We start from the raw sequence: 13,769 nt of genomic DNA on the forward strand, positions 1-13,769 counted from the left end.
AGTTCGAGACCAGCCTGGCTAACATGGTGAAACCCTGTCCCTGCTAAAAGTACAAAAAATTAGCCGGGCGTGGTGGCAGGCGCCTGTAATTCCAGCTACTCGGGGGTTGAGGCAGGAGAATTGCTTGAATCCGAGAGGCGGAGGTTACAGTGAGCCAAGATCGCGCCACCGCACTCCAGCCCAGGCGAAAGTGCAAGACTGTGTCTCAAAGAAGAAGAAAAGAGATGGGATCTCAATTTGTTGTCTAGGCTGGAGTGCAGTGGTGTGATCATGGTTCACTGCAGCCTTGAAGTCCTGGGGTGGGTTCAAGGGATTCTCCCACCTCAGCCTCCAGGGGCATGCCCCCACACCCAGCCAATGTTTCATTTATTTATTTATTTATTTGTTTATTTATTTTTGAGACAGGGTTTGGCCCTGTTGCCCAGGGTGGAGTGCAGTGGCATGATCTGAGCTCACTGCAAGCTCCACCTCCCAGGTTCAAGAGATTCTCCTGCCTCAGCCTCCTGAGTAGCTGGGACTATAAATGCCTGCCAGCACACCCAGCTAACTTTTGTGTTTTTTGTAGAGGCGAGGTTTTGCCATGTTGTTAGCCTGCTAAGCTCAAAGGATCTGCCCACCTCGGCGTCCGAAAGTGCTGGGATTACAGATATGAGCTACCGCGCCCAGCCTTATTTTTATTTTTCGTAGAGACGAGTTCTCACTGTTACCCGGATGAACCCCTGGCCTCAAGCAGTCCTCCTAGTGTTGAGATTATGGGCGTAACCATCTTGCTAGGCCAACAAATTCTTAGTGACAGAATTATAGCTAGATAGGAAGAATAAGTCCTAGTGTTCTATATCACTGTAGGATGACTGTAGTTAATAATCTGTTTTTCCTAATAGCTAGAAGGAGGAGTCGGGTGCAGTGGCTCACACTTGTAATCCCAGCACTTTGAGAGGCTGGGGAGGGTGAATCACCTGAGGTCAGGAGTTGGAGACCAGCCTGGACAACATGATACAAAACCCTGTCCCTACTAAAAATACAAAAATTAGCTGGGTGTGGTGGCGGGCACCTATAGTCCCAGCTACTGGGGAGGCTAAGGCAGGAGAATCGTTTGAACCTGGGAGGCGGGGGTTGCAGTGAGGCAAGATCGCGCCACTGCACTCCAGCCTGGGCGACAGAGGGAGACTCTGTCTCAGAAAAAAAGGCTAGATGTGGTGGCTCATGCCTGTAATCCTAGCACTTTGGGAGGCCGAGGCGGGCGGATCACCTGAGGTCAGGATTTCTAGACCAGTGTGGCCAACATGGTGAAACCCCATCTCTAATAAAAATACAAAAAATTAGCCAGGTGTGGTGGTGCGTGCCTGTAGTCCCAGCTACTCAGGAGGCTGAGGCAGGAGAATCACTTGAACCTGGGAGGCGGAGGTTGCAGTGAGCTGAGATAGTGCCATTGCGCTCCAGCCTGGACAACAAGGGTGAAACTCCATCTCAAAAAAAAAAAAAAAAAAAAAAGTCAGATGGATATTGAATCTCCCAACCCAAAGAAGTGATAAATGTTGAAGATGAGAGACGTGCCAAGTACACTGAACTGATAACTATATGTTATAGACATCAGAACATCACTGTGCAGCCACGAGCGCGCAAGACTGTTATGTCATTTAATCAAATAAAGTGAAAAATTCTTAATGAAAAGAATTGTACTAATTGCATTGTAATTATTATTATTTTTTGAGACAGTGTCTCGCTCTGTTGCCCAGGCTGGAGTGCAATGGCACGATCTTGGCTCATTCTTGGCCCATACCCACTGCAACCTCTGCCTCCTGGGTTCAAGTGATTCTCCTGCCTTAGTCTCCCGAGTAGCTGGGATTAAAGGCTCGTGCCAGCACACCTGCTTAATTTTTATATTTTTAGTAGAGATGGGGTTTCACATATTGGCCAGGCTGGCCTTGAACTCCTGACCTTAAGTGATCCACCCACCTTGGCCTCCCAAAGTGCTGGGATTACAGGCATCAGCCACTGCGCCTGGCCTTCCCCCACCTCCTCCTGAGATGGAGTCTTCCTCTGTCACCCAGGCTGGAGTGTAGTGGTGTGATATCCACTTACTGCAACCTCCGCCTCTCAGGTTCAAGCAATTCTCCTGCCTTAGCCTCCTGAGTAGCTGGGATTACAGGCACGTACCACCATGCCCGGCTACTTTTTGTATTCTTAGTAGAGATGGGGTTTCACTATGTTGGCCAGGCTGGTCTTGAACTGTTGACCTAGTGATCTGCCCACCTCGGCCTCCCAGAGGGCTGGGATTACAGGCATGAGCCGCTGCGTCCGGCTTTTTTTTTTTTTTTTTTTGAGACAGAGTCTTGTTCTGTCACCCAGGCTGGAGTGCAGTGGCACTATCTCAGCTCACTGCAACCTCCGCTTCCAGGGTTCAAGTAATTCTCCTGCCTCAGCCTCACGAGTAGCTGGGACTACAGGTGCACGCCACCACGCCTGGCTAATTTTTGTATGTTCATATTGGCCAGGCTGGTCTGGAACTCCTGACCTTGGGATCTGTCTGCCTTGGGCTCCCAAACTGCTGGGATTACAGGCATGAGCCAATGTGTCTGGCCTTTTAAATTTTTTTTTTTTTTTCCTGAGATGGAATTTCGCTCTAACACCAGGCTGGAGTGCGGTGGCGCGATCTCAGCTCACTGCAACCTCCGCCTCCCAGGTTCAAGTGATTCTCCTGTCTTAGCCTCCCAAGTAGCTGGGACTACTGGCACGCGCCACCACGCCCAGCTAATTTTTGTATTTTTAGCAGAGACGGGGTTTCACTATATTGGCCAGGATGGTCTCCATGTCTTGACCTTGTGATCCGCCCGCCTTGGCACCCAAAGTGCTGGGATTATAGGCGTGAACCGCCGCGCCCGGCTAAAACATTCTTTAAAGAGATAGGGCCTTGCTCTGTCACCCAGGTAGGAGTGCACTGGTGCCATCACAACTCACTGCAGCCTTGAACTCCTGGGCTCAAGTGATCCTCCCGCCTTAGCCTCCTCTTCGTAGCTGGCACTACAGGTGTGCACCACTGTACTTGGCTTTCAAAAGTTCTTGAGACTAACAGGCTAGGAAAAATGGATTCAGTGTCATGATTAGGGAGGAAAATAAATTCTTTAAGTAGGTACAGTTCTATTTTTGTGTCCAGATATTTCATGCTTGTATCTGTCCGTCTGTCTTTCTGTCTGTTCATGGCTAGTCAAGTGAAGCAGTGGGAATGGAGAAGGACCAAAGCAACCCGTAACGATTGTGATCAGTTAGTTGTAAACACCACTGCACTAGGACCAGCTCATCTTGTTTTAGCAAATTGGTATTACTCTGGTTACCATCTTGTGATATTCTTGTGTTTATCATAAGTTTCAAAACAGGGCTCATGTTGAGCCAGTGTCCTGTGTGTGCCACTAAAACCGGCGTCCTAGCTCTTCAGCCTTTAGGTCTCCTGATGGCTGTGGACCCACAAAATCTGAGACAGATCTCAGTTAGTTTAGAATGTTTATTTTGCCATGGTTGAGGATGCACACCCGTGACACAGCCTCAGGTACTCCTGATGACATGTGCCCAAGGTGACTGGGGCACAGCTTGGTTTTATGCATTTTAGGGAGACATGAGACATCAATCAATATATGAAAGAAGTACATTGGTTCATTCTGGAAAGGTGGGACAACTCCAAGCAAAGGCAGGAAGACATGAAGCAGGGAGGGGCTTCCAGGTCACAGATAGGTGAGAGACAAACAGTTGCATTCTTTTTTTTTTTTGAGACGGGGTCTCGCTCTGTTGCCCAGCTGGAGTGTGGTGGTGCAATCGCGGATCAGTGCACCCTCTGCCTCCTGGTTTCAAGCAATTCTCCTGCCTCAGCCTCCTGAGTAGCTGGGACTACAGGTGCCTGCCTCGTCTGGCTAATTTTTTGTATTTTTAGTAGACACGGGGTTTCACTGTGTTAGCCAGGATGGTCTCGATCTCCTGACCTCATGATCCGCCCCCCCCATCGGCCTCCCAAAGTGCTGGGATTACAGGCGTGAGCCACCGCGCCCGGCCTTCTTGGTTGATTAATATTTATTTCTTTACTTTTATTTTCTTTTGAGACAGGGTCTCATTCTGTGCCTTATAGTTGCATAAAATGGAAATGTTTCTGGACATTTCTGGACAATAAATTTCTGTGTTCCTTTTTCTTTTTATTAAAGATTTACTAATTTTTGTATTTTTAGTAGAGATGGGGTTTCGCCATGTTTCCCAGGTTGTTCTCCAACTCCTGAGCTCAAGTGATCCGCCCACCTTGGCCTTCCAAAGTGCTGGGATTACAGGCATGAGCCACCTCGCTCAGCCCCTCTGCTGTCGTCCCTTCCCTGGGATCAGTGGCCCAAAGTCCAAGGGAGGCTCTTGCTCTGCCTACCTTCCCCCTTTTCTCCTACCTGGTGGGCATTCTCAGCTAGGCCTGGCCAGCTGGCATCTTAATTTCCTGAAGGGATTTTCTCTTTGCTGAAAGATCCCCTTGCTTTGCTGGCCGTGTCCTGCCTACTGTTTCTTAGGTCAGTGATGCATCTTCCTCACAAAGATGTTCAAAATACACAGATGCTTTTATCCCTTATGGGAAGGAAGACTTCTGAAAATGCTGTGTGATGAATCTGGGAATGTTAGTTCTGGAGACCAGCCATGCTGGGGGATCAGGAAGGCATCCCTGCCATCCCTGCTGGTTCAGCTGCAGCTGTGCCTGCGGGCAGGAAGTGAAGAGGTGAGAACAGGTGCTGGCACAGGCCCGCCTGGCTGCCCTCTTCCCACCCTCTTGCTCCTTCAGCCCTCCTCCAGAACACAGGAAGGTCAGCTGAGTCCATTTTTCTTTTTTTTTTTTTTATTGAGACGGAGTCTCGCTTTGTCGCCCAGGGTGGAGTGCATTGGTGCAATCTCGGCTCACTGCAACCTCCAGCTCCCAGGTTCAAGCGATTCTCCCGCGTCTGCCTCCCGAGTAGCTGGGATGACAGGTACCTGCCACCACGCCTGGCTAATTTTTTTGTATTTTTATTAGAGACGGGTTTCACCATGTTGGTCAGGCTGGTCTTGAACTTCTTACCTCAGGTGATCCACCTGCCTCAGCCTCGCAGAGTGCTGGGATTATAGGCCACCGTCGCCATCGCGCCTGGCCCTATTTTTCTTCAAGCCTGTTCCTGATCACTCAGTAACCTGGTATTCCCACTCACTCAGTAGCCTGATGTTCCTGATCCCTAAGTCGTGCGTATCCACGATTAAACAAACCCATGCTCTAGGAGTACACAGCAGGGGACATGAGGTCTTCCCATCACTGTCGACCTCTGGCATGTTCTCACGGGGGGTGAGTTTTCCCCTCTGTGTCACCCTCCAGTAAGTCCTGCCGATTCATTCAAAGCCCCACCTGTAGACCAGTGATGAAAATTAATTATTTGAAGTATCCTGTAACAGTCATAAAATAATCGCTATGCTGGGTACTCTGTCGTTGCCTCTCTAAATTGATCTCACGCACGCGGACCCTAATGTGCACAGGGACTAGCCTGGAGTTGGTGCCAGCTGCTCCTCTGGCTGGAGCCCTCTGCCCCATGCTGCTCCTTTCTTGGTCATGCAGCAAACACACATTTGTGTTCCCACACCAGGCACCCTTCCTTCTGTGACATAATAACAGCCTTTGAGTGACTGATACTTTTGATTTGTCTGCCTAGAGAAGGAATTCCACAACTCTTGAACTATGAAGTTCTCTAATCATGCTTTTTTGTTTGTTTGTTTTGAGACGGAGTCTCGCTCTCTCGTCCAGGCTGGAGTGCAGTGGCACCATGTTGGCTCACTGTAAGCGCCACCTCCCAGGTTCACGCCATTCTCCTGCCTCAGCCTCCCGAGTAGCTGGGACTACAGGCACCCGCCACCACGCCTGGCTAATTTTTTGTATTTTTAGTAGAGACGGGGTTTCACCGTGTTAGCCAGGGTGGTCTCGTCTCCTGACCTCGTGATCCGCCCACTTCGGCCTCCCAAAGTGCTGGGATTACAGGCATGAGCCACCGCGCCTGGCCTCATGCTGTTTTTTTAAGAAACGGGGTCTCACTGTGTTGCCCAGGCCGGAGCGCAGTGGCTGTTTATAGGCTCTGTCACAGTCACTGCACCCTCCAGCTCCTGGGCAGTCCTCCTGCCTCAGCTTCCTGCGTAGGTGGGACTCCTGGCCCATGCCACTGCACCCAGCTTATGATGCTGGTTTTTGAAATGGGGTTGCTATTCCCATGGTGAGTGTCTTGGGGGAGTTTGGGCATGGTAGTTGGAGTTATAAATTCAACTGAGGTCTTTTGTTTCATTCTGGAGCGTTATTAGAACCCTCGTGAAGGGGGTTGCTATTTCAGGAGGAGCTGCAATGGCCAACCAGGAGTGTGCTGGTCTCCTTTCTGGTCTTCCTCCCGCTCAGCCGGGCTGCCGCTTCTGGTGTCTGGTTGCTTCCATGGTTCTCTACTTCTGAAGTGGCAATCCAGGGTGGTCAGGCAGGGGTGAATTGTCTTTCGGTGTCATGCTACTTTTTTTCTGACGTAGTGGCAGTGTCTGCTGAGTCGTCCCAAAGCACAGAGATGTGATTTGCAGAAGGTATGTTGTGTCTTCGTGGGCAGGAGCTGGAGCTCCACCCTGTTGCTTTAGCAGGCGGCCTTTGACCAATTAAGAGAGCAGGTCTTTCTTGTTGGCGTAACTCTCCTGAGGGTCACAACAGGCTCCGTGCTAGAGCGGTCATCTCTGCAGATGTTTCTTCCTCTCTTCTACCACTCTCACCCCTTATTTTTTTCCCGCTTGTTTACAAAGTTTTATTTCATTCCAACATCGGGTGGGTTGGTTTACTTTACTAAAATCCAAGAAAAACAAGGCTGACGTTTTTGCTGTTGGAAATGAAAAGCCCTTTTATGAGAAAGTCCATCCCCGTCAGCATGGCTTATTCTGTCTGGTGAGGAGAGAAGAAGCCATGAAGACATTTCCTCTTGGTGATTTAATTTTTAAGAACCCTCTTCAGGAAGCCAGCCCTGTGATGCATTTTAAGAGAAATACCAGTTAGTGAGGTTTCATCAGCACTGAGGAACACTTGGCTCTCTCTTGCAGACTAAGAAATACCAAGCAGGAGGAGTCTTGGCATTTGGAACGGGTAAATCAAGAACCTGCTCTTGTTGGCTTGCGAGTGCCTTTAAAGCGAAAGCAAGAAGCTTAGAAGGAAAACGTCACAGATCATGCACGCTTAAAATAAAAACATGCAAAAGAAGTAAATAAAAATAATAACTTGCAAATAAAGGAGAAAATAAAAACCCCATCCAGCACCGTGAATCTTTTCAGCCTTCTGGCTTTTAAATTTTTCTTTGTATAGGACAGTTAAACAAAACCAGAGTCATAATTGACCATTTTAACCTAGTTTAAGTCAACATATTGTTACCACCTCTCGATATCAGTACATCTGCTTCTGCAGCATGATCTTTGGTGGTGGTGGTTGTTGTTGTTGAGAGGGAGTCTCGCTCTGTCGCCCAGGCTGGAGTGCAGTGGCGCGATCTTGGCTCACTGCAACCTCTGCCTCCCAGGTTCAAGCGATTCTCCTGCCTCAGCCTCCCGAATAGCTGGGACTACAGGCGCCCGCTACCACGCCCGGCTAATTTTTGTACTTTTAGTAGAGACGGGGTTTCACCATGTTAGCCAGGATGATCTAGATCTCCTGACCTTGTGATCCGCCCGCCTTGGCCTCCCAAAGTGCTGGGATTACAGGCATGAGCCATCGCGCCCGGCCTGGATATGTAGGGTTTAAAGCATTTAAGAAAATATTTTCCGTCACCAAATTGTCTTCCAGAAAAGTATTGCCAATCTGATACAGGAAGAATGGCATATCAACGGAGTTTCAGTTTGTATTTCCTGGAGTGTATTTGAGCTGATGTTCCTCTGCATGTTAATAAACAAGTGTTTTCGTTCTTGTGCGTGTCTGTGTTGTGGTGTGGGTGTTCTCCACCCTGAGGCCTCTCTTTCTCAACCTGTGCATGGAGGTTGGCCGAGGCAGCCTCTGAAGTACATGGAGCCCTGGACAGCGCCCTGAGTTTCTGTAGGGTTTCTTTCTTTTGTGGTATTATCCTTTCTTACGAGTTTCAGATATAGGCCATCAGTCTGCGTCATTCAGTAAGGAATAAAGAACATGGAAATGCCTACTTTTCACTACCTTTGTTCCGGTGTGACGTTCTCCTTGTAAAGGGCAGAGGGTAGTAGACTAAGGCAGGCAGCAGCAGGACGGTGCTGAGAACGGCTCTGAAGAGTCTCTCTTTTGTGCTGACTTAAAAGTTTTCTCTACTGTTGGATGATCTCTTGATAATTAAAAAAGAAATTATGATACTGATAGCTGTTCGGCCTGCAGAATAAAGCTGCAGTTACTTCATTCAGCAAGGTCTCAGGCTCCTAATTTTAGAGCTCCTAGAATTTTGTAGTCCTCTCAAGATTGGGTTCTGGCCAGGTGCCATGGCTCACGCCTATAATCCCAGCACTCTGGGAGGCTGAGGCAGGTGTTTTACTTGAGGTCAGGAGTTCGAAACCAGCCTGGGCAACACAGCGAGACCCTGTCTCTATTAAAAAAGATTGGGTTCAGGCCGGGTGCAGTGGCTCATGCATGTAATCCAAGCACTTTGGGAGACCCAGGCAGGCAGATCACTTGAGGTCAGGAGTTCGAGACCAGCCTGGCCAACATAGCGAGACTATCTCTATTAAAAAAGACTGGAGCCTGGTGCGGTGGCTCACGCCTGTAATCCCAGCACTTCGGGAGGCCAAGGCAGGTGGAATACGAAGTCAGGGGACCGAGCCCATGCTGGCTAACATGGTGAAACCCTGTCTCTACTAAAAATACAAAAAATTAGCCAGGCATCATGGTGGGTACCTGTAGTCCCAGCTACTCGGGAGGCTGAGGCAGGAGAATGGCGTGAACCCGGGAGGCAGAGCTTGCAGTGAGCCGAGATCTCACCACTGCACTCCAGCCTGGGTGACAGAGCGAGACTCTGTCTCAAAAAAAAAAAAAAAAAAGAAAAAAAGATTGGGTTCAGGCTGGGTGCGGTGGCTCACACATGTAATCCAAGCACTTTAGGAGGCCAAGGCAGGCAGATCACTTGAGGTCAGGAGTTGGAGACCAGCCTGGCCAACATGGTGAAACCCCGAATCTACTAAAAATACAAAAAAAAAAATCAGCCAGGCCTGGTGGCAAGTGCCTGTAGTTTCAGCTACTTGGGAGGCTGAGGCACGAGAATCGCTTGAACCCAGGAGGCGGAGTTTACAGTGAGCTGAGATCTTGCCACTGCATTCCAGCCTGGGTGACAGAGCAAGACTCTTGTCTCAAAATAAAAATAAAAATAAAAAAAGATTGGGTTTTAGGTACTATGCCAATATGGGAGCTCTTTTAAATTTAAAGCAAATCTCAAAATAAAAAAATGGACATTCTATAATCTCCCCCTTGCCCACCCAAGGGAGTGACTCTGGTCTGGTATGGGGGGATGAGAATCTGAGGCTGACACCCTCAGGCAGGTGGCTGAATCTCAGGCCCACAGAGACTGGGTTGCTGTTGGCTCCTGTAGCGGCTCCACTGTGGAGAGAAAGGTTCTGCCAGAAAATCTGGGAGCCACAGATTAGAACCTTCCTCCAGGCACTCACCATTTCTCCCCATCTGTGCTCTCGGCGGGAGGTGCTTTGTGCCCACTTGGCCCAGGTGCAGGGACCCAGCAAGAATGGGACAGACCTGGCTGCTCCCTGGGGGAGGCAGATGGGCAAAAGGACGTTATGGCCTGAGCACCTAGCAGCCTCCAGGTACAGGTGTTCTCTGGATGCAGTCCTGAGGCTCAGGTGTAGGCCCCTGTGTGAGGTGGGGGTAGGTGGGGCTGGAAAGTGTTCTAGACACAGAGACGAGGGTGCATCATAGAATTTGGGGACGTTGGGTCCTACTTGCTCTTGGGGAATGGGAGCTTTGCATCCTGTCATCTTTGTTTCCCTAAAGATCACCCTGGGTGCTGGGCATGGGGGTGCGTGTCTCAACTACTCGGGAGGCTGAAGTGGGAAGATTACTGGAGCCCAAGAGTTTGAAGCTGCAGTGAGCCATGATCACTCCTGTGACTAACCACTGCACTCCAGCCTGGGCAGCATAGTGAAACCCCGTGTCTTTGAAATAATAAAATAAAGATCACCCTGGCCTCTTTCTGACCCGTATCTGAAATTGGTTGTCTATGTGAAGCAGAACAGTGGTACCCAGAGAGGCAGGGCACTGAGGCTTGTTTTATTTTAGGGGACGACATTGCAGGTGGGCTTTCCTTGGGAGCAGATATTTCCTTCAGAGGGACATAAAGAGTGCTCCTTGGCAGGCTGTCTTCCAGGTGGCCTTTGGCACTGCCTGCAGATCGGGTGGGCAGTGCAGCTGGGGAGCTCTGTGCACTGGCAGGGTCACCTGCACGTGGTCTCATCCTTCACAGTAGAAGTTTGTGGCATCTGCTGCTCTAGCCTGGTGTCCAGATGTGTCCTACAGAGACATGTTGACCTGTTTTCCAAGCACACTTCAGTGTGAGGACTTATTTCCATATAGTCCTTTTTATTCATATATCTCAAACTTTTTTGTTTTTTTTTTGAGACGCACTCTCGCTCTGTCGCCCAGGCTGGAGTGCAGTGGCGTGATCTCAGCTCACTGCAACCTCCGCCTCCTAGTCCTGGTTCACGCAATTCTCCTGCCTCAGCCTCCCGAGTAGCTGGGATTACAGGCACATGCCTCCGTGCCCAGCTAATTTTTGTATTTTTAGTAGATTCGGGGTTTCACCATGTTGGCCAGGCTGGTCTTGAACTCCTGACCTCATGATCTGCCTGCCTCGGCCTCCCAAAGTGCTGGGATTACAGGCGTGAGCCACCATGCCCGGCTTTAAAAACATTTTTTTAAGAGACGGGCTGGGTGTGATGGCTCACAGCTATAGTCCCAACACTTTGAGAGGCTGAGGCAGGAGGATCACTTGAGGCCAGGAGTTCAAGACCAGCCTGAACAATATAGTGAGACTCTGTTTCTACAAAAAATATAAAAATTAGCCAAGTGTGATGGTTTACCCCTGTAGTTCCAGCTACTTGGGAGGCTGAGGCAGGAGGATCACTTGAGGCCAGGAATTTGAGGCTTCAGTGAGCTATGATTGTGCCAGTGCACTCTAGCCTGGGCAGTAGAGTAAGACCCTGTCTCCAAAAAGGAAAAAAGAGAGTCAGAGAGAGAGAGATGGCGTCTCGCTCTGTCACTCAGGCTGGAGTTCAGTGGCACAGTGGCAGCCTCCTGAGTAGCTGGGACTACAGGTGTGCACCACTGCACCTGGCTAATTAAAAATATATATATATTGTGGCCGGGCGCAGTGGCTCACACCTGTAATCCCAGCACTTTGGGAGGCCGAGGCGGTGGATCACGATGTCAGGAGATCGAGACCATCCTGGCTAACACGGTGAAACCTCGTCTCTCCTAATAGTACAAAAAAATTAGCCGGGCGTGGTGGCAGGCACCTATAGTCCCAGCTACTCAGTGGGCTAAGGCAGGAGAATGGTGTGAACCCGGGGGGCAGAGGTTGCAGTGAGCCGAGATCGCGCCACTGCGCTCCAGCCTGGGCAACAGAGCGAGACTCCATCTCCAAAAAAGAAAAGAAGACTAAAACGTATAAATTATACCTGTCTCCCTACAGAAATTCATTAAGAGACTCATGCTCAGACTGTTGTCTGGTTAATGTGAACAACATGAGCACATCTGAAGAAAGGGTGAGAACAAAGGGTTACATTCAGCTTTCAGGTCAACTAATTTAAAACAACAGGACGGGCCAGGCACAATGAATTGTGAAAAATAACGCTGACAATTTAAAATAGTGGAACAAAATTAAAAAAGGAAAAAGAAAAAAAACTGTAAAGAAAATTTGACATATGAAAAAGCGTATTGTCCAGGCGCAGTGGCTCACACCTGTAATCCTAGCATTTTGGGAGGCCGAGGTGGGCGGATCATGTGAGGTCAGGAGTTTGAGACCAGCCTGGCCAACATGGTGAAACCAATCTCTACTAAAAATACAAAAATTAGCCGAGCGTGGTGGCGCGCATCTGTAGTCCCAGCTACTTGGGAGGCTGAGGCAGGAGAATCACTTGAAACCATGAGGCAGAGGTTGCAGTGAGTCGAGATTGCGCCATTGCACTCTAGCCTGGGCAATGAGGGAAACTGTCTCAAAAAAATAGCCGGGCGCAGTGGCTCATGCCTGTAATCCTAGCACTTTGGGAGGCCGAGGTGGGCAGATCACCTGAGGTCAGGAGTTTGAGACCAGCCTGATCAACATGGAGAAACGCCGTCTACTAAAAATACAAAATTAGGCCGGGCGCGGTGGCTCATGCCTGTAATCCCAGCACTTTGGGAGGCCGAGGCAGGTGGATCACGAGGTCAGGAGATCGAGACCATCCTGGCTAACACGGTGAAACCCCTTCTCTAATAAAAATACAAAATATTAGCCGGGCATGGTGGCGGGCGCCTGTAGTCCCAGCTACTCGGGAGGCTGAGGCAGGAGAATGGCGTGAACCCAGGAGGCGGAGCTTGCAGTGAGCCGAGATGGTGCCACTGCACTCCAGCCTGGGCAGCAGAACGAGACTCCGTCTCAAGAAAAAAAAAAAAAAAAAAAATACAAAATTAGCCGGGCGTGGTGGTGCATGCCTGTAATCCCAGCTACTCGGGAGGCTGAAGCAGGAGAATCACTTGAACCTGGGAGGTGGGGGTTGCGGTGAGCCAAGATCGCACCACTGCACTCCAGCCTGGGCAACAAGAGTGAAACTCTGTCTAAAAAAAAATTGAATAACATAAATAAGTAAATAAATAAGTAAATAAAAACAGGATGGAAATTATACCTGAAATTTAAAAAGTAAGATGGCTGTGGTAGGCCAAATAATGGCTCCCAAAGATAGCTAGGTCCTGCTCTGTCCGCTGAGACCACCACACTCTACACAGTAGAGTCCTCCTCATGCTATGCTCTGGCCCTCTTGCCCCTCCAACCTCACTTCCAGCTGCCGGCCCCCTGCTCACTCTGCTCCTGACACTCCACAGGCACACATCCTCCTCCAGGCCTGTGCAGTAGCTATTCCCTCTGCCTGGAATATGCAGTCCTGTATATCTCCAGCTCAGTGTCTCACAGCGCTGTCACCAGGCGGGACAGAGTGTCGGGCTCATTCAGGTGCTCAGCAGAATTCAGCTCCTTGAGGTTATAGAACTGAGGACCCTGTTTGCTGGTTGGTCGTTTGCCAGAAATGGTTCTTAGGTCCTGGAGAACCCTCAGGTTCAACCACATGGTCCTCCCAGGTATGGCAGCTTACTTCTTCTTTGAGACCAGGAGGCTGCTACGATGGAGTCTTAAGTTAACATAAATCACAGCTAGGTGTGGTGGCTCACACCTGTAGTCCCAGCTACTCAGGAGGCTGAGGTGGGAGGATCGCTTGAGCCTAGGATCTTGAGGCTGCAGTGAGCTGTGTTTACCACACCACTGCACTCCAGCCTGGGTGACAGGGAGACCCTATCTCAAAAAAAAAAAAAAAAAGTTTTAGGCCGGGTGCAGTGGCTCACAGCTATAATCCCAGCACTTTGGGAGGCTGAGTTGGGTGGATCACTTGAGGTCAGGAGTTTGAGACCCGCCTGGCCAACATCGTGAAACCCTGTCTCTACTAAAAATACAAAATTAGCCGTGCGTGATGGCGGGCATCTGTAATCCCAGCTGTTGCGTAGACTGAGGCAGGAGAATTGTTTG

The 13,769-nt window shown here is 49.7% G+C and overlaps 1 protein-coding gene across 6 annotated transcripts in view, besides 3 other annotated features; it reads left to right on the forward strand.

Annotated features, from left to right (window-relative positions):
• RAB11FIP3 (RAB11 family interacting protein 3) overlaps nt 1–13,769 on the forward strand; it is a 97,363-nt gene that overhangs the window by 10,453 nt on the left and 73,141 nt on the right. The window lies entirely within an intron of this gene.
• Nucleotides 6,022–6,560: an enhancer, noted in NCBI's record as "H3K4me1 hESC enhancer chr16:492123-492661 (GRCh37/hg19 assembly coordinates)". NCBI's record gives its function as "activates a minimal SCP1, AML or CMV promoter by ChIP-STARR-seq in primed H9 embryonic stem cells {active_cell/tissue: H9 hESC(primed)}" and the evidence as "EXISTENCE:reporter gene assay evidence [ECO:0000049][PMID:30033119]".
• Nucleotides 9,221–9,721: an enhancer, noted in NCBI's record as "H3K4me1 hESC enhancer chr16:495322-495822 (GRCh37/hg19 assembly coordinates)". NCBI's record gives its function as "activates a minimal SCP1, AML or CMV promoter by ChIP-STARR-seq in naive H9 embryonic stem cells {active_cell/tissue: H9 hESC(naive)}" and the evidence as "EXISTENCE:reporter gene assay evidence [ECO:0000049][PMID:30033119]".
• Nucleotides 9,722–10,222: an enhancer, noted in NCBI's record as "H3K4me1 hESC enhancer chr16:495823-496323 (GRCh37/hg19 assembly coordinates)". NCBI's record gives its function as "activates a minimal SCP1, AML or CMV promoter by ChIP-STARR-seq in naive H9 embryonic stem cells {active_cell/tissue: H9 hESC(naive)}" and the evidence as "EXISTENCE:reporter gene assay evidence [ECO:0000049][PMID:30033119]".

This window comes from Homo sapiens, chromosome 16 (assembly GCF_000001405.40).
Source record: "Homo sapiens chromosome 16, GRCh38.p14 Primary Assembly".
In the NCBI taxonomy this organism is placed as follows: domain Eukaryota; kingdom Metazoa; phylum Chordata; class Mammalia; order Primates; family Hominidae; genus Homo; species Homo sapiens.